We start from the raw sequence: 23,688 nt of genomic DNA, 5'->3' as shown, positions 1-23,688 counted from the left end.
CTTGACTCTTTATCCAATTTGCCAGTCTGTGTCTTTTAATTGGAGCATTTAGTCCATTTACATTCAAAGTTAATATTGTTATATGTGAATTTGATCCTGTCATTATGATGTTAGCTGGTTATTTTGCTCATTAGTTGATGCAGTTTCTTCCTAGTCTCGATGGTCTTTACATTTTGGCATGATTTTGCAGTGGCTGGTACCGGTTTTTCCTTTCCATGTTTAGCGCATCCTTCAGGAGGTCTTTTAGGGCAGGCCTGGTGGTGACACAATCTCTCAGCATTTGCTTGTCTGTAAAGTATTTTATTTTTCCTTCACTTATGAAGCTTAGTTTGGCTGGATGTGAAATTCTGGGTTGAAAATTCTTTTCTTTAAGAATGTTGAATATTGGCCCCCACTCTCTTCTGGCTTGTAGAGTTTCTGCCGAGAGGTCTGCTTTTAGTCTGATGGGCTTCCCTTTGAGGGTAACCTGACCTTTCTCTCTTGCTGCCCTTAACATTTTTTCCTTCATTTCAACTTTCGTGAATCTGACAATTATGTGTCTTGGTGTTGCTCTTCTCGAGGAGTATCTTTGTGGCGTTCTCTGTATTTCCTGAATCTGAATGTTGGCCTGCCTTGCTAGATTGGGGAAGTTCTCCTGGGTAATATCCTGCAGAGTGTTTTCCAACTTGGTTCCATTCTCCCCGTCACTTTCAGGTACACCAATCAGACGTAGATTTGGTCTTTTCACATAGTCCCATATTTCTTGGAGGCTTTACTCGTTTCTTTTTATTCTTTTTTCTCTAAACTTCCCTTCTTGCTTCATTTCATCTTCCATCACTGATACCCTTTCTTCCAGTTGATCGCATTGGCTCCTGAGGTTTCTGCATTCTTCACGTAGTTCTCGAGCCTTGGTTTTCAGCTCCATCAGCTCCTTTAAGCACTTCTCTGTATTGGTTATTCTAGTTATACATTCTTCTAAATTTTTTTCCAAGTTTTCAACTTCTTTGCCTTTGGTTTGAATGTCCTCCCGTAGCTTGGAGTAATTTGATCGTCTGAAGCCTTCTTCTCTCAGCTAGTCAAAGTCATTCTCCGTCCAGCTTTGTTCCGTTGCTGGTGAGGAACTGCGTTCCTTTGGAGGAGGAGAGGCGCTCTGCTTTATAGAGTTTCCAGTTTTTCTGCTCTTTTTTTTCCCCATCTTTGTGGTTTTATCTACTTTTGGTCTTTGATGATGGTGATGTACAGATGGGTTTTTGGTGTGGATGTCCTTTCTGTTTGTTAGTTTTCCTTCTAACAGACAGGACCCTCAGCTGCAGGTCTGTTGGAGTACCCAGCCGTGTGAGGTGTCAGTCTGCCCTTGCTGGGGGTTGCCTCCCAGTTAGGCTGCTCGGGGGTCAGGGGTCAGGGACCCGCTTGAGGAGGCATTCTGCCCGTTCTCAGATCTCCAGGTGCGTGCTGGGAGAACCACCGCTCTCTTCAGAGCTGTCAGACAGGGACATTTAAGTCTGCAGAGGTTACTGCTGTCTTTTTCTTTGTCTGTGCCCTGCCCCCAGAGGTGGAGCCTACAGAGGCAGGCAGACCTCCTTGAGCTGTGGTGGGCTCCACCCAGTTTGAGCTTCCTGGCTGCTTTGTTTACCTAAGCAAGCCTGGGCAATGGCGGGCGCCCCTCCCCAAGCCTCGCTGCTGCCTTGCAGTTTGATCTCAGACTGCTGTGCTAGCAATCAGCGAGACTCCGTGGGCGTAGGACCCTCCGAGCCATGTGCGGGATATAATCTCCTGTTGTGCCGTTTTTTAAGCCAGTCGGAAAAGCACAGTATTCGGGTGGGAGTGACCCGATTTTCCAGGTGCCGTCTGTCACCACTTTCTTTGACTAGGAAAGGGAACTCCCTGACCCCTTGCGCTTCCCGAGTGAGGCAATGCCTTGCCCTGCTTTGGCTTGCGCACGGTGCGCGTACCCACTGACCTGCGCCCACTGTCTGGCACTCCCTAGTGAGATGAACCTGGTACCTCAGATGGAAATGCAGAAATCACCCGTCTTCTGTGTCGCTCACGCTGGGAGCTGTAGACTGGAGCTGTTCCTATTTGGCCATCTTGGCTCCTCCCTCAACACAATTCCATGCATTTGTTTTTAAAGCAAAGGGCCAGCTTCCTCTTTTTCCTTCCCCTGAGCAGTCCCTGTTGACTCCTGTTACCTTTCTTTTCTTATCCCCTTTTTTCATACGGAAGGTCCTGTAAGCCTGCATCAGGTAATTGGAATTTGATAAAACCCAAATAACCAACCCAGGCTTTCCCTTGACACCACACCTCTTATGGCTGCCGGTATCAAGGCTGCTCTGTTACTCACAGTGATTGGAATGAGACTTAGCCCCCTGTTCAGACCCTCAGCACTCAAAGACCATCACAGCTCAGTAAGTTTCAGCCTTTCCCGCAACAAATATTTTGCAGGTGAGCTAAAAGAAGTATGACAGAGCAGGTCGTTTTCCATTCACTCACATTCTCACTTCTTCACCCTCCACGGCACCCATGTGTGCAGGATCCATTCTCCATCCTGCCCGTTGATGTTTGTGGTTGCTGGTACATGATGACGTGACTGGAGGGTGGACAATGAAAACTGGGGGGTGGACAGTGAAAACTGGGGGAAGCAGGAGCAGCCAGAGGCCTCAGTCCCAGCAGCCCTGTGGGCCTTGTTTGCCCATGGTGCGGGGGCCTGTATGAGGAGCTCCCGGTTCAGAAGAGCCTGCGAGAGGGAGCCATGAGAGAGTTGGACCTCAATGGTGGAGCATGAAGGGGCGCACCGCCCAGGCCACTCCTGTGGGGCTGCCACAGGGCTTAGCACTCTGTCCCCACCCCAGGCCTGTGGATGAAGCAGGGGCCTGGGCAGGGTGGACTCCAGCCAGCATGCTGGAGTCACGGGGGCCACAAAGAGTCAGTGGCCAAGGGTGATCTGACCACGTGGGAGGCCAGAGGGTCCTGGCACTCGCCTGGCACTGGCCTGCAGGAGTGAGCCAGCAGTGCTTCTGGCCCTGGGTGGATCCTGTGACCCTGCGCACGCCAACCCGTCTCACCACTCATCTCACTTTGAGGCATTTCTGCTCATTTAGAGTAATACTGGCCACGGGGTTCCTACAGCCACCCCGCTCTGGGGCTGTGTGATCCCTGGGACCAACCAAGCTCCATGCCTCCCATGCCACTTGATGCTGGTTGGAGGTGCTGCTGTGGAAGAGAAGGTGCCAGGCAGCATCTGGGGGATGCTTTTCATGGAGAGTAGTCACTGTGCCTCCTTTTCATGGTTGTTTCTAAAATGAGTAAAAGTGAACTGGAAGACTGGCTTCCTGGAATGAGGCCATCCTGGAGTAGAATTTGGGTTCCTAGTTCTTAGATTTCTTGGGCTTGGAAGTTTTCTGGATTAGCTGCTAATCCTTGTAAAATACTTTTCAGTGGCCAGGGAATGCTCTCAGAACTCTTGGACAGTTTGTGTTCCAAGAGCTTGGCATTCTTCTGCAGACACAGAACTGAGTGAGGCCTGAAGCGGAGCCAGTGGAAGCCCAGTGTCCTCGGCCCTCAGTGGTGCCCACTCCCCATCTGTCAGAGTCAGGGCTGGTTCCAGCGTCAGAGGCAGGATTTGGCTGAGTGGGTCTAGATGTGGGATGGGCACTGGGCCCCAGGTGTGGATATTCAGAGTTGTATTGAGGAGGCTACCCCCGCTCCCAGCTGTCAGATTATAGACTTGCACCCTGGGCTGCAGCTCTCAGGCTCCCAAAGTGTGTGGTGAATTCCCAGGATGAGGTGGCAGGAGTGGGCCCTAGAGTCTGAAGTGGACTCACTTTCCCACTCCAGATCCTGAAGTGGACCCACTTTCCAGGCATTCCTCTGGTCGGGAGCCTTCTCCGGGTCCCATTGCCAGGATAAAATCTAAATTCTTGTATGGCTGTGTTCTTTTTTTTTTTTTTCCAGGAGACTGGCGTTTTGTTATTACTCAAATCACTCTCCCGTAGCATTCAGGGATCAGAGTTTTTAAGGACAACTTGGTGGGTGTGGGGAAGCCAGTGAGCTGGAAGTGCTGATGGTCAGGTCAGAGATGAAATCATAGGGAGTCAAAGCTGTCTTCTTGCGCTGAGTCGGTTCTTGGGTGGGGGCCACAAGATCAGATGAGCTAGTTTATCAATCTGGATGGTGCCAGCTGGTCCATCAAGTTGAGGGTCTGCAAAATATCTCAAGCACTGGTCTTAGGTTTTACAATAGTGATTTTATCACCAGGAGCAATTTGGGGAGGGTCAGAATCTTGTAGCCTCCAGCTTCATGACTCCTAAACCACAACAATTTCCAATCTTGTGGCCAAAATGTTAGTCCTATAAAGGCAGTCTAGTCCCCAGGCAAGGAGGTTTGTTTCCAGAAAAGGGTATCATCTTCGCTTTAAACTATAAACTAAGTTCCTCCCAAAATTAGTTTAGCCTATGCCCAGGAGTAAACAAGGACAGCATGGAGGTTAGAAGCTAGATGGAGTCAGTTAGGTCAGATCTCTTTCACTGTCTCAGTTATAGTTTTGCAATGGTAGTTTCAATCCCTCCCTTTCTTTTTTTTTTTTTTTGAGACGGAGTCTTGTTCTGTCGCCCGGACTGAAGTGCAATGGCGTGATCTCAGCTCACTGCAATCTCTGACTCCCGGGTTCAAGCAATTCTCTTGCCTCAGGCTCCCGAGTAGCTGGGACTACAGGCACTCACCACCATGCCCGGCTAATTTTTGTATTTTTAGTAGAGACAGGGTTTCACTATGTTGGCCAGGCTGGTCTCAAACTCCTGACCTCGTGATCTGCCCACCTCGGCCTCCCAAAGTGCTGGGATTATAGGCATGCGCCACCGCGCCTGGCACCCCTTTGGGTTTCATAACACCTTAATCTTAAGGCATTAGCTAATGAAGATGGAGAAAGGGCAAAGACAGCTCTAACTTCTTCCTGCTGGCCAGGGGTGTAGTGGGGGTAGGTGTTTACCCCAAGGTGAAAGGAATGGAACCACTTTGCAACATTCTGGGCATACTCACACAGGCATGGCTGGGGATCCACGGCTTGCATGGCAAAGGCATTACTATTGTCATCTATAGTTTTAGCACTGCATTTAAGGGAACAGTGTACTATAAGGTTAATAATGGGGACTAAGGTAAGGAGTGCAATTCCCAATTTTAAAAGTAAAAATTGGAATGCATTAGTTTGGTGACTTGTAGCCCACAAAGAATTTAAGATTTAGTCCTTCCAAACTGCAGGAAAAATACAAGAACAGCTAACAACAGGTATACCATAGTTGTTGTTGTTGTTTTTTTTTGAAGCATAATTTTTCTCTCTCCAGTCCCCATGTTTATTAAAAAACAAATCATTATAGGACTGATTTGTTTGCAAAATAAACTTTAGTCTTATTATATACTTGGCCTGATTATTTGCATAAAGTGCAACACAAGTAATTATTTTTTACATAGGCTTCTAGAATTGGCTTTGATAGAACTCTGTTCCATAAGGAATCTCAGATAAGACTTTTTAAAAGCTGAGTCCAGCCATGGGTTTCTATCCTCAAATACCTATGAGTTTGGTAAATTCCTCTCCTCTTGAGGTCCTAAAATAACTTGGGCCTCCTGGGCCTATTAGAAAGTGACATTCTTTACCACAGGTCAGGAGCCCTGTATGGGGACTGTATAGACAAGTTATGAGGCCAGTTTTACCCACGGGGCTTTTATTGGCGCTATAAGTCCTTTGAATCCTTAAAGGAAAGCAGGCCATTCCAGTCAAAGCCTTGGTAAAATAACCAGTTTCTTCAATTGTTTCCTGTTGCAGAAGAGCCTTCCTTGCTTTCCTTTCTTTCCTTTCTTTCCCTCCCCCCACTCCCTCCCTACCTCTCTCCCTTCCTTCCTTCCTCTCTCTTCTCTTTCTTCCCTTCCCTTCCCTCCCCTCCCCTCCCCTTCACTTCTTTCCTTTCTTTTTTCTTTTCTTTTTTTTTTTTTGGACAGAGTCTCACTCTTTCATCAAGGCTGGAGTGAAGTGGCATGATCTCAGCTCACTGCAACCTCCTCTTCCCGGGTTCAAGCCATTCTCCTGCCTCAGGCTCCCAAGTAGCTGGGATTATAGGTGCACACCACCACGCCTGGCTAATTTTTATATTTTTAGTAGAGACGGGGTTTTGCCATGTTGGCCAGGCTGGTCTCGAACTCCTGACCTCAGGTGATCCACCTGCCTCGGCCTCCCAAAGTGCTAGGTTTACAGGCATGAGTCACCACGCCTGGCTGGCTGCATTTATTTCTTAGGGCCGCTCAAACAAACCTGCAAACTGAGTGGCTTAAAATAAATGTATCCTCTCATGGTTGTGGAGGCTGGGAGTCTGAGGTCGAGGTGTGGGTGGGCCCAGCTCCTCCTGAGATGCTGAGGTGGACCCTTCTTGCCTGTCTGTCTGGCAGCATTCCCGGCTTGGAGAAGCTTCCCTCAAATCTCTGCCTCCATCTTCTCCATCTTCTTGGTCATCTTCTCATGGTCTTCCCTCTGTCTCTGTGTCTAAATGTCCCCATTTTATAAGGATACCAGTCATGTTGGGTTAGTATCCACCCAGTGACCTCATTTGAGCTTGATTACCTCCATAAAGACACTGTTTCCAAGTAAGGTCACACTCTTAGGTACTGGGGGTGAGGCCTTGAACATAGTCTTTTTTGGGGAGCACAACTCAGCCCATAACAGGGCAGGCGGGCCTCCCAGGCCTCTCAGGGGCCAGGCTCATTACCTCCCTGACTTCCTGTCCAGCCAGCCAGGAGGCAGGGCTGTGCAGCCGGGCTGCCGGGTTCAAAGCCAGTTCTTTTTTTTTTTTTTTTTTTTTTTTTTTGAAACAGGGTCTCTCTGTCACTCAGGCTGGAGTACAGTGGTACAACCTTGGCTTACTGCAGCCTTGACCTCCTGGGCTCAAGTGATTCTCCCTCCTCAGCCTCACAAGTGGCTGGGATCACAGGTGCATGTCACCTTACCTGGGTAATTTTTATATTTTTTGTAGAGGTGGGGTTTTGCCGTGTTGCCCAGGCTGGTATCAAAAAATCCAGCTCCGTCATGTGAGCTGGCAATCTAATAGGAGCCATCAGATGGTGATGGTGGTGGCTTGCCTCAGAGACTGTGCAGCCTGGCTCAGCTGGAGCTAATGGGGATGTGGATCATCTCCTTTGCCATTTTTTATTTTGAGAGAAACTTCTTACTAAAATTTTGAAGATGTATCTGCTTCCTGGGAAAGAGATGGAGTAAGAAGGTGGGGTATGAACAGCAGCCCTGGTGGTAGGAACTGTCTCCCCACATGGTCTGGGACAGACGCTCAGGGAGTTTCTGGGAAGGAGTGTGTATGTCCCCATGTCCTCGTGAGTCCAGCCTGGTGACATTTGAGGAAGTGAGGCTAGATGTGCAATGTGCCACATGGACATGGGAGTCACGCAACCCCTGTCTTCACCAGAGACAGCTGTCAGCAGCAGAGCTTCCCCGGGGGCAGGACCCACCAGAGGGAAGCCAGGCCCACACTGCTCTCTGTCATTGCCTCTTTTGGGAGTTGCCATTTTATAAAGCAGGCAAATCCCACCTCAGGGTTCATGCGTTTATTTTAAATTTTTTGTTTTTCAGTTAAACTTATTTTAAAGTTGTGTTCACCAAAAGCAGTAAGACTACAATGGTATATAAGGAAAAAATTGCCCCCATTCTCCCCACACACACACTTTGAAGCTGTGTGAGCAGCCTGGCTTCTGTCTTTCTGTATATCCTCCCAGCCACATGTGGAGGTCGTGTTTCATTTGCATGTTTTTACAATAACAAAGTGGGGCTACCGCACCCGCACCCACAGTCACCTTGCTCCTCTCATCTGCCCGCAGGTCCTGGAGGTTCCTCCAGGTCTAAGGGCCCCATGGTCTTCCACAGTGTGAGGTGCTGGTTAATTCACTCGCTGTCCTGCTGGCAGATGACCTGGTAGATGCAGGACTTCTGCTGGGCCATTGCACTGACTTCATTCTGCTCTGCATGGGTCCTATGGATTCATCCCCCTCGCTGCCCCACACCTCACCTTCTGCTGTCTTTTCTGTGTTAGGCAGCAGTCCTGGAAACTTTGGAATCCCCTTTACCTTGTTTGCCACCCAACGTTCCGTTGGTCATCAGGTCCTGCAGCGCCATCCCCTTTCCTGCTGTCCTTCCCACTCCACCAGGCACCTGAGTTATTCGCAGGCTCAGCCTCCCCAGCCTCCCTCCTGGCTGGCCCATCCTTCAGACCTGTTGGGGATCTTTCCTTCCCTCATTTGCATCTTCTCACACCTAGAATGACCTTAGACCTTAGCGTTCCAGTCTCTACACAGACCTTGCCCTCACTGCAGTCTCTGTCCCTGCCCATGCTGGCTGGCCTCAGCCCATACCCTGCCTGAGGCTGGGCCTGCAGGTCTGGCACCATTGTAAGATTGCACAGGAAAAGGACTTGGTGCTTTCTGAGAGCTTCTGCAGTGTGTGCATGTGGGTGTGCATGTGTGTGTGTGCACGTGTGGATGCATATCTGTGCACGTGTGTGAGTATGCATGTTTGTGTGTACATGTGTGTATTCATCCACCAGTAATCCTAATTTCCATCTCTTTATTTCCTACAGTAAGAGTTCCCTATTTCATTGATTTGAAAAAACCACAGGATCAAGGTTTGAATCACACGTGTAACTACTACCTGCAGCCAGAGGAAGACGTGACCATTGGAGTCTGGTGAGTGCCAGTGAGCTCTGCAGCCCCTCCAGCAGCAGGAAAGGACCCTACATGACTGAGCTGGTGCTGTCTTTGACATTGGCCTCTGAAATGTTGTTCATTTTTATCTTCACCTCTTCCTTTCCTAAAGGAAAGATCTCAGTACATTTGATCCATCCTAATGTTGAGGGATTCAATGGCTTTAAACTCTATTCCCAGCCTTTCAAAACAGCAAAGGCTTTGTGAACAGATTATTATTTTTAGAGAGACTTGTTTCTAGGAAAAACGAAAAGCAAACAAAGAAGCTAGAAACAGGATATAAGTGGCCGGCACAGTGGCTCACACCTGTAATCCCAGCACTTTGGGAGGCTGAGGCAAGTGGATCACTTGAGTCCAGGAGTTTGAGACCAGCCTTGGCGACAAGGTGAAACCCCATCTCTACTAAAAATACAAAAATTAGCCAGGCATGGTGGTGCACACCTGTAATCCCAGCTACTTGGGAGGCTGAGGCAGGAGGATCACTTGACTCCAGGAGGCAGAAGTTGCAGTGAGCTGAGTTCACGCCACTGCACTCCAGCCTGGATGACAGAGCAAGACTCTGTGTCCAAAAAAAAGAGAATATAAGGGAAGAATCACAAACACTGGTTTGAATATATCTTCCATCCAGGCGCGGTGGCTCACGCCTGTAATCCCAGCACTTTGGGAGGCCGAGACGGGTGGATCACTTGAGATCAGGAGTTCGAGACCACCCTAAACAACATGGTGAAACCCCGTCTCTACTGAAAAAAAAATACAAAAATTAGCTGGGCATGGTGGCACGCGCCTGTAGTCCCAGCTACCCGGGAGTTTGAGGCAAGAGAATTGCTTGAACGCAGGAGGCAGAGGCTGCAGTGAGCTGAGATTATGCCACTGCACTCCAGCCTGGGCAACAGAGCGAGACTCTTGTCTCAAAAAAAAAAAAAAATATATATATATATATATATCTTTTCCAAGAGGTGAACATCTAGATACTGAAAACAGCTTGATTTCTTTTCACATATAGCTTCGCACCAGCTGATGATGATGGTGTTGGCTGTCTTCTGAGTATTTACTTTTTTAAGCCATAAGTTTACACTGGACATAAGCCTTGTGACTTCTCTGTGTCTCCTTGGAATACATTTTAATGTTTTCTTCTGTACACAAGTGGTGCTTCTGAACAGCTGAATTAAAATTGACCAACCTCACTGTAGCATTTCCGTTTTTCTCTGAGAAGTGAGCCTGAATCACAGCCCTTTTATCTAGCTGAATTTATTTTTCAGTAGCCATAACGTCGCTTTCCACTGTCTCAGAAAACCACTGTGTATGTGAGAAGCTTCTAAATGAAATGCTGTGAGTAGCTTCCCAGTGTGGATGAGAGAACATTCAGACATTTCTAACAGTGGTCCTTGGTAAAGAACATAAAACAAGAAGGGAGATTTTTGTTCTTAGTAGTTGGTGCTGGGATTAAAGTCTTTTGTCACTTCCTGATTTGATTTAATCTAGCATTTACTGACCAATGTGTGACTGTGGGACTCCTCAGGTTTCTGTCTGAAGCATGACTTGTTTTGCACAGAGCTGCTGAGTGGGACTTGGTCAGCCCTCTTCTTGGTTAACATGAGTCTGTCCTATTGCAGGAGGGTGTTTATGGTGGTGAGACTTAGGCTGGAAGTACTAACAACTCCTGCATACATTATCAGCTACCAGAAAAGGTTTTGTTTAGTGATGTCAGTGGCAAGTGTCAAGGCAGTGACAGCCACGCTGTGTGTTGCTGTGTGTTGGTGGGTGCGTGTTGGTGAGTGCGGCTGCTGCCCACTCTCATGCCCTAGGCAGTCACAATGACATTGGGCCCTCAGGCAGCAGCAGGCCCAGCTCACCAACTGCCCCCACCATCGCTTCATCAGACCCTCCCACCAGCTTCCTGAAAGGAGGGCCTCAAGGCCTAGAGTGGAGCCTGGGGGCCATTCCTGGCCATGCCTGGCCATCGCCTGTCTGCTGAGAGGAGAGGCCCAGGAATGGGTTTCTCTGCTGGCTAGGAGTTCCCTGGCTCTTTGTCAGGAGCCCAGGTTTGGGGCGGCTGGCTACTGGAAGCACATCTGCTCCCAGCACCTTCAAAATGTGACGTCCTATCCCTCAAATTTATAACTGTATGGGAGTGATGATCATAGTGACTAGAACCATCCCAAAAGTGATCCTTTTGAACGGATCAGAGAGAGACGTTAGAAATGAGATGCTGAAGCTTAAGATCTAGAAAATAAGAAGTTGGCCATTAAATTTTTTTAAAGATTCTTGTCACTGGTATCCAGAATGAATTTGAATAAGCTTTACAGAAAAGTGATTAATTTGGACCCTCCCCAGTGATTAACAGTATTCGATGTGGCCTGAGTTAAAATTAACCTCAGTATCTCTCTGAAGGAGGGTTTGGCTAGATAGACCAGCAGCTTCAGAGTGCCCAGCCAGGTGTGGACCATGAGCAGACTGGGAAGGTGGTGCATACTTGACATTAGAAATGGCGTCAGCGATGGCCCGGTTTCTAGTCTGGCTCACAAACATTGGTGTTGCTGAATTAGCAAATGTGACAGCATGTACTGTTTAAAATCCATTGTGAGTTAAACTGTGGACAATTTAAGCATGGGGTTAACTGGGATGTGGGGCACGTATGAGGAAAATGCTATTACTCAAGATGGACTAAGTGCTGCTTCTCTGCCAGGCCCCAGTGGTAACTGGCACATTGCAAGCCTTTGTGGCCCAGAGGAGGCTGGCCTGCCAGTCAGGGAACGCTCCTGCTGAAGCTGTCAGTGCCATCCACACAGCCTGCAGTTCCGTGGTTATTGATTCTAGTGATGGGGATAGTTTTCTACCACCCACCCCCATCTGTTCCCCTGTAGTTAGATGGGGTCTGCAGCTCCCTGCTGTCTGGACTTGAGCTGATTAAGTAACACCACGTGCAGTCGCCAGGATGAGGACAGAAGGGACATCTGATCCTGCGCTCCCCTCTGCTTCTGTCTGCAGGCACACCGTCCCTGCAGTCTGGTGGAAGAACGCCCAAGGCAAAGACCAGATGTGGTATGAGGATGCCTTGGCTTCCAGCCACCCTATCATTCTGTACCTGCATGGGAACGCAGGTACCAGGTGAGGGAGAGGAGCCCATCATCTTTGCTGTGGAGCATGGCTCCTTTTTGGGGTGGGAATGTCCTGGCCCGGTCTGCCGGAAACCAGCAGGAGCAACCTGCGGTCCCACAAAATTGGGTGTACTGACCCACTGCAATGAGGGAGAGCCTCCCAAGAACGAAGGGAAAGGCAGAGTTCTGAAGGGGTTGAGGGAAGGCGGAGTTTAGGTGACGTTTACATGAAGCAGGGTTCCCACAGGCTGAGGCCAGCACGGCTGTGTTCCGTGGGGACCAAGTGTGGGAAGCTGTGTGCAGACCGTCCCCTATCTGGAGCTGCAGCCTGGATTGGGATGAAGGAGGCTGAGTCTCAGTCAGGAGCTGAGCTCCCCAGCCAGAGGGGCATGTTTTTTTCTCCTTGTTGTAATCTCAAAGGTCACAGCATCTGCTGGTATGTGATTTGGGGAGCAGGGTTTCTTGGAGAGTGAGGGCTTTGGGGTCCCTCCGAGGAGGGGTCATAGTGGCACTTGGCTGTGGGTGCCTCGCGCTCTTGGGAATGGGCGGCTTCAGCTCACTGGCAGCTTGTTTTCTCTATATCTGTCATGCTGCCTGAAGTGGCAGGCAGATCTTTGTTACCTGTAAGATAGCTCCAGGTGGCAGACAGGTGAAGCCGGAGCCAGGGCAGCCCTGGAGGAGGTGGCACACTTCCTGGAAAAAAGTGGCAGGTGCTGAGAAGGGGCAGGAGGGAGAGGCTGAAAGCACCAGGTGCTGGGGTCTTTGCAGGCCACCCTACAGTGTGAGCTCTCTGCTCACCCTAACGGGCTGTTGCTGAAGTTCATGCACTCTTTGGTTAATCAGCCCTGCCCAGTTTTATCTCAGATGCTTTTCCTGAGTGGGTCTAATGGCTTGTCCTTTCCACTGGCTGCCCTGGAGTTGGCCTCCCTGCCTTAAAAGGGTGCTCCTTCCACACCATGTGATTGCTGTTCAGAAGAGCCTCTGTGGGAGAACCCAGGGTGGGTGCGGAGGGGATACATTTTCTGAACAAAGCATTGTTTGAAAACCACCAAGGTCTTCGTGTGTGAGAGAGGCAGCCAGGAGCCAGCACAGAGGCAGACCCAGCACGGAGACAGGGCTGCTGCGGGGCCAGGGCCGAGGTCCCGTGTGGCACCAGGGTATGTCAGGGCTGGGGGCAAACATTTTATAGGCAGAGCCAGCAAGGAGAGCTGTGCTGGGCCCTTCTGGAAGGGAAAGCAGGCCTAGGTGGGGTCTGCATGGTGGAACCCTGCAGAGAGCATTGCTGAAAGAGCCTGGCGGCATGGCCCGTGAAGCGGTTTCTGTGTCAGGGATGGCGTGTCTAGCTACAGAATCATGCATGTGCTGCACAGTTTCCTTTCTTCTTTGTCTGGGACAAGCTGCAGAGGGTTTCTCTTCTGCTTTTCAAAGAGCAAGTGGCTACAAACAGCTCTTGCAGCATCTTTTTATAAATGACAGAACTGTGGTTGGCTGTGAATAAGGTTCAGTTCTGCAGTGCCCATCACATGGTTAAAAAAAAAAAAAAAAGATCCTGCCTATAACTTTAGGTTAGAAAGGGATGCCGTGACTTTCAGTGTTTGCTGCCCCCTCCCAATCCTGCAGAGACTGCCTGGCTGCAGTCCTCGCCACCCCCACGTTGCCTGCTTTCTTTGTCCTGTGCATCCCACTGGGGTTTCGCTGGTCTGCGGGATCCACCACCCGGGTCCCCCTGAGGTCCAGACCCCCTGGATTCCCAGCAACTGTTCCTTTTTTGCTTAATGTAGGAAATTTTAGAAACTTAGAGCCACTGTGAACTCTTACAATGATAACTGAAAATATTTTGCAGTGTTTCCTCCTTGCCTTGAAACTCATTCCTTTATTTTTTATTTTAATTTTTGAGACAGAGTCTCACTCTGTTGCCCAGGCTGGAGTGCAGTGGCACAATCCTGACTCACTGCAACCTCAGCCTCCTGAGTTCAAGTGACTCTCCTGCCTCGGTCTCCCGAGTAGCTGGGATTACAGTCACCCACCACCATGGCCAGCTAATTTTTGTATTTTTAGTAGAGACGGGTTTCACCATTTGACCAGGCTGGTCTCAAACTCCTGAGCTCAAGTGATCTGCTCACCTCGGCCTCCCAAAGTGCTGGGATTACAGGTGTGAACCACCGCACCTGACCCTTTATATTTTTGTTTCTGTACTTTATTGGCTTCCTCCTCCATCTCATCCTGGTGTCCAACCAGCAACACTCCCGCCCCCATACCTGAAATGTTGAGACCGCTCCTGAGGAAGGAGGAGCACGGCTAGGGAGTGTGGAGAGTGTGGACCCGCCCTCCTCCCAGGTGGCCCATGTCCCTGCTGTGGGGTCGGTCCAGGTTAACAGCTGGCCAACAACTGGAAAGAAAGAGGGAAGGGAGCCTAGACAGGCCTCAGACAAGGAAGTACAAATGGGAGGGTGTGTGCCGAGCCCACTTAGTCTCAGTAGCGACATGCACGGTGAAGCTGTAGTTGGCTGTGAGGGGCGGGAGGCAGCCGTTCCGGCACTTCAGGGCCTCCCTGGGGAGATTCTAGGAGCATATCCCATGTGCAGAGCACACACATGTGAAGGGCTGTAAGGCAGGGTGGCCACAGCAGCAAACAGAAGTTAGTGCCAGGTGGGAAACAGTCAAGATGACCATGAGAGGCCAGGGTGGTGTGGCTAAGCAGAGTTCTGAAGGTCGGCTGAGACGTGCGGAGCAAGAAGTGAGGGCAGAAGTCGCCCATACGGGTCCTGTTGGAGCACAGCCTCTGTCTACACAGGGTGTCCTTGGCACAGGGAAGCTGGGAGGGTCTGGGGTGTGGTGGATGAGGCCTTGCTGTGTTTCCTTTAGTGTCTTTCTAGTTTGGGGCTGTAGGTGTGCATTACCTACTGAAAAATAAAAGCAGTCATTAAGAAATCTCCCCCAAAGTGCTAAGACCATCTCCCCCTTGGCACAGCACTGCCAGAGGCGAGTGTGGGGCTACTTAGGGGGACCCAAGGAAGAGGTTCTGCCCTCTTTCATTGGCCTCCCCCTGGTTTGGGGTATGGAGGACAAGTTGACCTGGGGCCCAACTCTGAGAAGATGTGCTCACACCATGTCCTGTTTTCTTCTCCAGAGGAGGCGACCACCGCGTGGAGCTTTACAAGGTGAGTGCAGGCAGCACCCACACCTGTTCCCTGGGCTGTTCTTTCCAGGGCAGGAAGTGAAGGGAGTCACCAGACTCACAGCTTGAGAGTTAACTATTGCTGGGCTGTTTGTGTGTGTGAGACAGGGTCCTCCTCCTCTGTTGCCCAGGCTGGAGTGCAGTGGTACAGTCACAGCGCACTGCAGCGTCGACCTCCTGGGCTCAAACTATCCTCCTGCTTCAGCCTCCTGAGACTGCAGGTGCATGCCGCCACCACGCCCAGCTAATTTTTGTTTGTTTTTTTGTAGAAATGAGGTCTCCCTATGTTGCTCAGGCTGGTCTCGAACTCCTGGGCCTCCCACCTTGGCCTCCCAAAGTGTTGGGATGACAGGCGTGTTGAGCTTTTTAACACTGCCTTTGGATGGGCGTGCTGGAAGGTAGGGCCTTGGCTGCCTCTGCTGTGACTGCCCATCACACTGCTTCTAGGCCTGGGCCCCAACATCAGAATGTATGGGCTTTGTAGACCAAGTGCAGATATTGGCAGACTACATAAGCAGCACTGGAAATTGTTTTTCAATGTTACGTTACTTGTGTATAAAATGAAAAGAGACGGCTGGGTGTGGTGGCTCACGCCTGTAATCCCAGCACTTTGGGAGGCCAAGATGGGTGGATCACAAGGTCAGGAGTTCAAGACCAGCCGGCCAGGATGGTGAAACCCCGTCTCTACTAAAAATACAAAAAAAATTAGCCAGGCGTGGTGGCGGGCGCCTGTAATCCCAGCTACTCAGGAGGCTGAGGCAGAGAATTGCTTAAACCTGGGAGGCGGAGGTTGCAGTGAGCCAAGATGGCACCACTGCACTCTAGCCTGGGCAACAGAGCAAGACTCCGTCTCAAAAAACAAAAAAAAAGGAAAAGAGAAACCAGGTGCTCCAGGTGCTACACTGACTGCCAGGTCGTAGGCTCACCCCAGCAAGGGCTGCAGGTGGGACTTGAATCAGCTTCCAGGCACACAGTGGGAGCGCCTGCAGGTCTCCCCACATGCAGGGGGTGCCTAGGGCAGGGCGTGCAGACCTTCACTTGTGCTTGGTTGCTTGGTTTTGTTCTTCATCTGGTTGTCTGGGTCTTGGAGCCCAAGAGATACTGTTGAAACAGCCTCACTCTCCTCCCCTCAGAGGGCCATCTGCACTGGCCCACAGGGCAGAAGGGAACACAGACAGAGGCAGGGGCACAGACAGAGGCGGGGGCACACCCAGCTCTGAGCTATTGGAGGATTTTACCCGTGGAGTACATTGCATTAAGTCAGGAAAGGTGGGGAGAGTTTGAGAAGTGATTGGTCCTTTTTTCAGTTTTCTGTTAAAAGAAATGATTCATCCTGCTGAGGTCAACAGGGCTGGAGCAGGTTGGCTCTGGTTATAGCCTCTGCGGTGGCTAGGAGCTGGCAAGGAAGTGCAGGCTGCCCTGGGGAAGCACCCAACAACCCCCCCAAAGAAGGGAGCTGTGATTCTGGGTGACATGATGGTGCGGCAGCCTCCCATGTTGCTCTGGGCACACCCCAGCAAGGGCACAGGGGTGGGTGTTTGAGGAGTGAGCTAAATGAAAGAGGTCAGCTAGTCTGTAGGGATTAAAAAAAAATAACAGAAAAAAAAATTGACAAGAGCTTAAAATCCAAGAAATACTGGGTTGCAGCAAGGGTCCCCAGATGGGGTCTCTGCACAGTGTAGCCCTCCTCCTGGGGGTCTACCATCACACTGCAGCACCGAGAGCTGTCTGCCTCCAGAGGAGGCCGCCCCAGAGGCTGCCCTGCAGCACGAGTGGAGCTGCGGCCGGACACTGCTCCTGGCCCCCTAGCGTCTAAGCAGGAGGAAGGGAGAGCCTTCCTGCGCTCCCAGGCAGGGATGTCAGCAAGTCCTGCAGTGGCAGTTGGCATCTTGGTTTCATAAAACCCAGCCAGGAGTCAGGCAGCATGTCACAGTCTTTATGAAGCTGCCACTACGTACAAGGCAGAGGAGAGAAAGTTGGATGAGTTTAGTAAGCGGCAAGCTGCCCTCAATACAGATGCTTGGATTTGTTGCCAAAGATGTTTATTTTTCACTTTACAGGTGCTGAGTTCCCTTGGTTACCATGTGGTCACCTTTGACTACAGAGGTGAGATTTCTTTTGCAAGAGCATCTGAGCACAATTCCACTGCTTGCTGGCGGTATCCCATGGGCAGGCCTCACTCGAAGAGGCTCGGAGCAAGGCCAGCGCCTGCTTTGCCTGTGCTGTGATGGTGTCCTGGGTCCTGACAAAGACCCTGATGGAGCTGTCAGGAGAGCCCCTTCTGGTAGGGGAGGCTCAGCACCTGGAGCCCCCAGCAGATGCCCTGTCAGCAACTTTTTTTTTTTTTTTTTTAAGATAGGATCTCACTTTGTCACCCAACCTGGAGTACAGTAGCATGATTGTAGCTCACTGCAGCCTTGAACTCCTTGGCTCAAGGGATCCTTCTGCCTTAGGCTCTCGAGTAGCTGTGACTGCAGGAATGCGACACCACACCCGCTGTTTTGTTTTTGTTTTTAGTAGAAATGGGGTATCGCTGTGTTGCCTAGGCTAGTCTCAGACTCCTGGCCTCAAGCGATCCTCCTGCCTCAGCCTTCCAGAGTGTTGGGATTACAGGCAGGAGTCACTGCACCCAACCTGCAGCATTTTAAATTAGAAGATACTGTCTTTTTTAGACTGCAGAGCTGGACGTCAGACATGGTTTATGCTCATCAAAGCTTGTCTTGTTAAAGTTACGAAGACAGTAAGAAGTGTTAAGAGAGGCTGAGCATGGTGGTTCACACCTGTAATCCCAGCACTTTGGGAGGCTGAGGCAGGCGGATCACTTGAGGTCAGGAGTTCGTGACCAGCCTGGCCAACATGGTGAAACCCCATCTCTACTGAAAATACAAAAATTAACCGGGCGTAATGGCTCGCACCTGTAGTCCCAGCTATTCGAGAGGCTGAGGCAGGAGAAGCGCTTGAACCTGGGAGGCAGAGCTTGCAGTGAGCCGAGACTGCACCACTGTACTCCAGCCTTGGCGACAAGCAAGACTCCATGTCAAAAAAAAAAAAGAACTGTTAAGAGAGAAGATAGATTCTTCTGCACCTCAGCATTTCTGCTTTTTTGAATGAACCAGGGCTTGCCACTGAACAAATCAAGAATCCATAGTTTGATATATACCAAGGACACTGTGGCTTAATAGGCAACAGAAATACTTGGTGTTAACAATGAGCGACTGGTTTGTTTTGGTTTTGGTTTTGGTTTTGCTTTGAGACAGGGTCTCACTCTGTCACCCAGCTGGATTGCAGTGATGTGATCTCAGCTCACTGCAACCTCTGCCTCCCGGGTTCAAGTGATCTTCCCAACTCAGCCTCCCTAGTAGCTGGGACCACAGGCACACACCACTACACCTGGCTAATGTTATTTTATTTTATTTTATTTTATTTTATTTTATTTTATTTTATTTTATTTTTATTGATCATTCTTGGGTGTTCCTCTGAGGGGGATTTGGCAGGGTCATAGGACAATAGTGGAGGGAAGGTCAGCAGATAAACAAGTGAACAAAGGTCTCTGGTTTTCCTAGGCAGAGGACCCTGCGGCCTTCCGCAGTGTTTGTGTCCCTGGGTACTTGAGATTAGGGAGTGGTGATGACTCTTAATGAGCATGCTGCCTTCAAGCATCTGTTTAACAAAGCACATCTTGCACCGCCCTTAATCCATTTAACCCTGAGTGGACACAGCACATGTTTCAGAGAGCACCAGGTTGGGGGTAAGGTCATAGATCAACAGCATCCCAAGGCAGAAGAATTTTTCTTAGTACAGAACAAAATGGAGTCTCCTATGTCTACTTCTTTCTACACAGACACAGCAACAATCTGATTTCTCTATCTTTTCCCCACATTTCCCCCTTTTCTATTCGACAAAACCGCCATCGTCATCATGGCCCGTTCTCAATGAGCTGTTGGGTACACCTCCCAGACGGGGTGGCAGCCGGGCAGAGGGGCTCCTCACTTCCCAGAAGGGGCAGCCGGGCAGAGGCGCCCCCCACCTCCCAGACGGGGTGGCTGGCCGGTCGGGGGCTGGCCCCCACCTCCCTCCCGGATGGGGCGGGTGGAGACGCTCCTCACTTCCCAGATGGGGCGGCTGCCGGGCGGAGGGGCTCCGCACTTCTCAGACGGGGCGGCTGCCGGGCGGAGACGCTCCTCACCTCCCAGACGGGGTCGCGGCCGGGCAGAGGCGCTCCTCACATCCCAGACGGGGCGGCGGGGCAGAGGCGCTCCCCACATCTCAGACGATGGGCGGCCGGGCAGAGACGCTTCTCACTTCCTAGATGGGATGGCGGCCGGGAAGAGGCGCTCCTCACTTCCCAGACTGGGCAGCCAGGCAGAGGGGCTCCTCACATCCCAGACGATGGGCGGCCAGGCGGAGACGCTCCTCACTTCCCAGACGGGGTGGCGGCCGGGCAGAGGCTGCAATCTCGGCACTTTGGGAGGCCAAAGCAGGCGGCTGGGAGGTGGAGGTTGTAGTGAGCCGAGATCACGCCACTGCACTCCAGCCTGGGCAACATTGAGCACTGAGTGAACGAGACTCCGTCTGCAATCCCGGCACCTGTGGAGGCCGATGCTGGCAGATCACTCGCGGTTAGGAGCTGAAGACCAGCCTGGCCAACACAGCGAAACCCCGTCTCCACCAAAAAAATACGAAAACCAGTCAGGCATGGCAGCGCGCTGCTGCAATCACAGGCACTCGGCAGGCTGAGGCAGGAGAATCAGGCAGGGAGGTTGCAGTGAGCCGAGATGGCGGCAGTACAGTCCAGCTTCGGCTTGGCATCAGAGAGAGACCGTGGAAAGAGAGGGAGAGGGAGACCGTGGGGAGAGGGAGAGCTATTTTATTTTTTTTAAGAGAGGGTTTCGCCATGTTGCCCAGGCTGGTCTTGAACTACTGGGTTCAAGCAGTCTGCCCACCTTGGCCTCCCGAAGTGTTGGGATTACAGGTGTGAGTGAGCCATTGCAACTGACTGCGAGACTGTTTTAAAGTGTATTCTGGCTGGGCACGGTGGCTCACGCCTGTAATCCCAGCACTTTGGGAGGCTGAGGTGGGCAGATTGCTTGAAACCAGGAGTTCGAGATAAGCCTGGGCAGCGTGGCAAAACCCCGCCTCTACTAAAAATACAAAAAAAAGTAGCTGAGCCTGGTGGCAGGTGCCTGTAATCCCAGCTACTCAGGAGGCTGAGGTGGGAGGAAAGCTTGAGCCCAGGAGGCGGAGGTTGCAGTGAGCCAAGATCATGCCACCGCACTCCAGCCTGAGTGACAGAGCGAGACCCTGTCTCAAAAATTTCAAAAAGTGTATTCCACCATGTAGTCCTCAGCTGGAGAGATTAAAGAGTTGATGGCAACGTGGCTGGCTGCCTTCACCTTCTTGTGGGGGCAGGTGGCGTGTCTATCCTCAGACCAAGAGGAGATATGGGAGGGACAAAGGAGAGAGGCTGTCACCTGGATGTGGGGGTTGTGTTAATTCTCTCTTGCTGCTATAACATGTTACCACAAACAGTGCTTTAAACCAGCACACATGTAGCGTCTTGCAGTTCTGGAGGTCAGAAATTCAGAATCTGCAGCCCCCAGGCTGGAATCAGGGTGGGAGCAGGGCTCTCAGGGAGAATGCCTGGCTGCCCTTTCCAGCCACCTGTGTTCCTTGGCTCACAGCCCTTCTGTGATTGAGTCCCAGGTCATCTGGCTCTGACCCTGACTCCTCTCCCTTTTTCTCTGATGAGGACCCTTGTGGTTATTTTGGGCCCACCCAGCTTGTCCAGGATCACCCCCATCTCAAGGCAAGCAGTTAGTAGCTTTCATTCCTTCCATACCTTTCATTCCCCAGCCATGTGACCCAACGCGTTCACAAGTTCCAGGGATTAGGTCATGGACACTTTTGGGGGCCACCATGCTGCCAACCACAGGGAAGAAAGTTCCATCAGGATGACAGTTGTGGGCTGGGAAAAACTCCAGAATGAGGAGCAAGGAAGTGGTTTGCCCTCTCCTTCTCTCCATGTTGACACTGGTTCTCTTCTGCTGCATGCTAGAGACCTTAGGAGAGGGAGAATGAGTGGCTTCTTCCCATTCATCTCCCCGCACTTCTGTCAGGAAATGAAATCCCACGCAGCACTTTCTGTTTCAGTTCTCGTGGAGTCTACGTTTCTAATTGGCACCAAGACTGCCAGCTCCATCTCCGACTGTCCCTCTGTCTCTCTCACTGCATCTGCCTCTTTGTCCGCATCCTTCTGCCTCCTGTCCCTGTCTCTGTGCCTGTCTGTCTGTCCCTGTCAGTCTTCTTGCCTGTCTCTGTGCCTCTCTGTTCCTGTCTCTCAGTCTTCCTGTCTGTCTCTGTCTCCTGTCCCTGTCTCTGTTCTTTTCTTTCTGTCTCATGTCCCCATACCCCTGCCTCCCAGCCTGGCCCTAGCCCTCTGCATGGCCTCCTCCCTCCTCTAGTGTCTGAGTCGGGAAACAGCAAGTTCTGCACTAACTGTTTGCTTACACTGCACAACCTGCTCTTTCTGACCTTTGTGGTGCTTTCAGATCATCTGATGATGACTCACTGCTGGGCTGCTGGAAAGATAATTGCACTCCACCTTTGCTGGAGACTGGGGGAGGGACCCTTGGGAGGTTGTAATTTTGGGGGGCAGAGATGGTAGTGTTTTCTGTTATGGAAACAAGATGCTAATTAGACCCTAAGGGGAAACAGCCCCTTTCCCCTTCCTGGGTCATGGTTGCCTTGAACCCAGAAATGCCCTCCCTGTTCTGGGAGCCTCCGGACTCCACTCCCTGTCCTGCCCCTGACCAAGCCTTCGGCGTTGAGGAGGTTGGTGTCCAGCCAGCGGCCCCGGGGGCTGCTCATCTGACCACGCCATCTGCACTGCTGCTCGTCAGGGCTCGGAGTGGGACACATGGATGCTGCTGGGGGATGGGGGAGAAGTGTAGAGCTGAGGATGGTGGTGGCAGAGGCTTTCACTGCCTTAGACCTCACTAGCTTGCCTGTTAAGAAAGAGAGAGGGAGAAGTGAGCTCACTCCCCTGCCCAAGAGGGTGGGGCAAGTCCCAGCCCTGGCCTGAGGATGCCGGTGCCAGCTCTGAAGCTCTGTGATCTGTTCTGTTAACTCAGCTTGCTGTTAGTTGCCATTCAAATGTGCAGCTCACCAACTTAGAGTGACCCTGTGAGGGGATGTCTGGTTTGTGCAGTCAGCAGGGGCAGGGCAGGGTTGCTGCTGGGCTGCCTTCCCCAGGGCTGGTGGGGATGTGGGGTTGTGCCCGTTCTCCCCACTGCTTGCTCTGCCCAGTGGCCTGGGTGGGTCTGTGGACTCTGGAAGGGTGGGCCAAGCGGGCCCCTCCCTGTCTCCTCCTGGCCCTGGGCCCCCTTGGGGAGGTGTGTTTGTCCAGGTTTTGTGAGCTGCCTTTGACCTCCCCGTCCTGCCGTTTCTCCCTCCCAGGTTGGGGTGACTCAGTGGGAACGCCATCTGAGCGGGGCATGACCTATGACGCACTCCACGTTTTTGACTGGATCAAAGCAAGAAGTGGTGACAACCCCGTGTACATCTGGGGCCACTCTCTGGGCACTGGGTAAGGGACCCCAGCAGGAGGCAGCCTTTAGTGGGAGTCAGTATTCCTGGTGACTCCCATGCCTGGATCTAGAGAGTCCACCATCCCTGCAAACCCTGTGGCACCATTAGTCCCGACCAGCCTCGCTCCCATCCCCATGGCAGAGGCAGGAGGGGAAGTTACAAAGAGACTCCAAAGGATCTGAGCTCCTCGTCCAGGAAGTGGCTCAGGACAGACATAGGCAGTGGAGGTCGAGGGGTCTCCCTAGGGAGACTTGGCTCTGAGGAAGAAGCGTCTTCAGAGCTGAGGGAGGGCACAGTGGGTGGTTTGCTTCTCACAGAGGCCAGGACAGGAGGTACTTCCACACTCCCTTTGTGGGCAGCCTGAGTCATCTCTGCTGATGCGAGGTCCACGTCTCTGCGGGAACCTCTGCTCTCAGGGCCCCAGTCCCCAGACCTTCACTGCCATTCCCTTTCTGCTGCCTTTCCCTTCGGGGCAGCCCTTCTCCCAACACCTGAATGGCCTCTTGTAGGCTGGGAAGCATCAGGAGAGGAGTGGGTGGGGGGCACCAGCCATCCCTTTGGCCGTCTGCGTGGTCCACCAGGTGTGGTCCTGGGATGGCAAGAGGCCCTGGGTGTGGTGGGCTCCAGGAGAGGTGCAGGCAGACGCTGGCCACCCCCAGCCGACAGGCGGCCCGGCCAATGGGAGTGTACGGGCAGTGAGAGGCAGCAGGACACACCTCGGGGACAAGCTGACTGGCTGTGGGTACAGCCCTCATTGCAGGGGTCAGCTGATGGTGGGGCAGCCAGGTCACCCCCAGTGCTAGAGGGATCTCCATTTCCCCCACTCTGTCCTGAAACTCCAGTAGCTTCACAGACCCCATGGCTCCTCTGAGCACTTTCCAGCATAAGGCCCATATCATCTCAAACAATTTTATCATAACTCAACTAAGCTGTTTTTCTTTTTTCCTAGCGTGGCGACAAATCTGGTGCGGCGCCTCTGTGAGCGAGGTGAGTGCCTTGTTGGGCCCCAGCCGTGGCAGTGAGCATTCAGGGTGCTCCCCAGTCCCGGCCCTGCTGCAAGTGCTCAGCGTCCTCATGGAGCAGCATGAGCTGCACATTCTG

The 23,688-nt window shown here is 51.7% G+C and overlaps 1 protein-coding gene across 12 annotated transcripts in view, besides 7 other annotated features; it reads left to right on the top strand.

Annotated features, from left to right (window-relative positions):
- The window catches only part of ABHD12 (abhydrolase domain containing 12, lysophospholipase), a 96,093-nt gene that overhangs the window by 58,805 nt on the left and 13,600 nt on the right, over positions 1-23,688 (top strand). For 10 of the 12 annotated variants that reach the window (NM_015600.5, XM_047440090.1, NM_001042472.3 and 7 more), the window contains 6 exons: positions 8,601-8,706; positions 11,713-11,832; positions 14,953-14,983; positions 17,061-17,106; positions 22,456-22,585; positions 23,537-23,574. In NM_015600.5, the coding sequence (NP_056415.1) occupies positions 8,601-8,706; positions 11,713-11,832; positions 14,953-14,983; positions 17,061-17,106; positions 22,456-22,585; positions 23,537-23,574 (471 nt within the window). Of the gene's footprint in view, positions 1-8,600; positions 8,707-11,712; positions 11,833-12,875; positions 13,686-14,952; positions 14,984-17,060; positions 17,107-22,455; positions 22,586-23,536; positions 23,575-23,688 lie in introns of those variants that run through there. The other 2 variants (XM_047440094.1, XM_017027797.3) reach the window with 2 other exon arrangements.
- Positions 1,240-1,761: an enhancer, noted in NCBI's record as "H3K4me1 hESC enhancer chr20:25310906-25311427 (GRCh37/hg19 assembly coordinates)". NCBI's record gives its function as "activates a minimal SCP1, AML or CMV promoter by ChIP-STARR-seq in primed H9 embryonic stem cells {active_cell/tissue: H9 hESC(primed)}" and the evidence as "EXISTENCE:reporter gene assay evidence [ECO:0000049][PMID:30033119]".
- Positions 12,572-12,651: a silencer, noted in NCBI's record as "silent region_12747". NCBI's record gives its function as "represses an Ori minimal core promoter by ATAC-STARR-seq in GM12878 lymphoblastoid cells {active_cell/tissue: GM12878}" and the evidence as "EXISTENCE:reporter gene assay evidence [ECO:0000049][PMID:35858748]".
- Positions 13,002-13,241: an enhancer, noted in NCBI's record as "active region_17668". NCBI's record gives its function as "activates an Ori minimal core promoter by ATAC-STARR-seq in GM12878 lymphoblastoid cells {active_cell/tissue: GM12878}" and the evidence as "EXISTENCE:reporter gene assay evidence [ECO:0000049][PMID:35858748]".
- Positions 13,272-13,331: an enhancer, noted in NCBI's record as "active region_17667". NCBI's record gives its function as "activates an Ori minimal core promoter by ATAC-STARR-seq in GM12878 lymphoblastoid cells {active_cell/tissue: GM12878}" and the evidence as "EXISTENCE:reporter gene assay evidence [ECO:0000049][PMID:35858748]".
- Positions 14,445-15,054: an enhancer, noted in NCBI's record as "H3K4me1 hESC enhancer chr20:25297613-25298222 (GRCh37/hg19 assembly coordinates)". NCBI's record gives its function as "activates a minimal SCP1, AML or CMV promoter by ChIP-STARR-seq in naive H9 embryonic stem cells {active_cell/tissue: H9 hESC(naive)}" and the evidence as "EXISTENCE:reporter gene assay evidence [ECO:0000049][PMID:30033119]".
- Positions 21,642-22,841: an enhancer, noted in NCBI's record as "CDK7 strongly-dependent group 2 enhancer chr20:25289826-25291025 (GRCh37/hg19 assembly coordinates)". NCBI's record gives its function as "activates an origin of replication core promoter dependent on BRD2, BRD4, P300/CBP, MED14 and CDK7 cofactors, with strong dependence on CDK7, by STARR-seq in HCT116 cells {active_cell/tissue: HCT116}" and the evidence as "EXISTENCE:reporter gene assay evidence [ECO:0000049][PMID:35650434]".
- Positions 21,678-21,797: an enhancer, noted in NCBI's record as "active region_17666". NCBI's record gives its function as "activates an Ori minimal core promoter by ATAC-STARR-seq in GM12878 lymphoblastoid cells {active_cell/tissue: GM12878}" and the evidence as "EXISTENCE:reporter gene assay evidence [ECO:0000049][PMID:35858748]".

This window comes from Homo sapiens, chromosome 20 (genome assembly GCF_000001405.40).
Source record: "Homo sapiens chromosome 20, GRCh38.p14 Primary Assembly".
NCBI lineage: Eukaryota > Metazoa > Chordata > Mammalia > Primates > Hominidae > Homo > Homo sapiens.
This window is presented reverse-complemented; position numbering and strand designations above follow the sequence as displayed.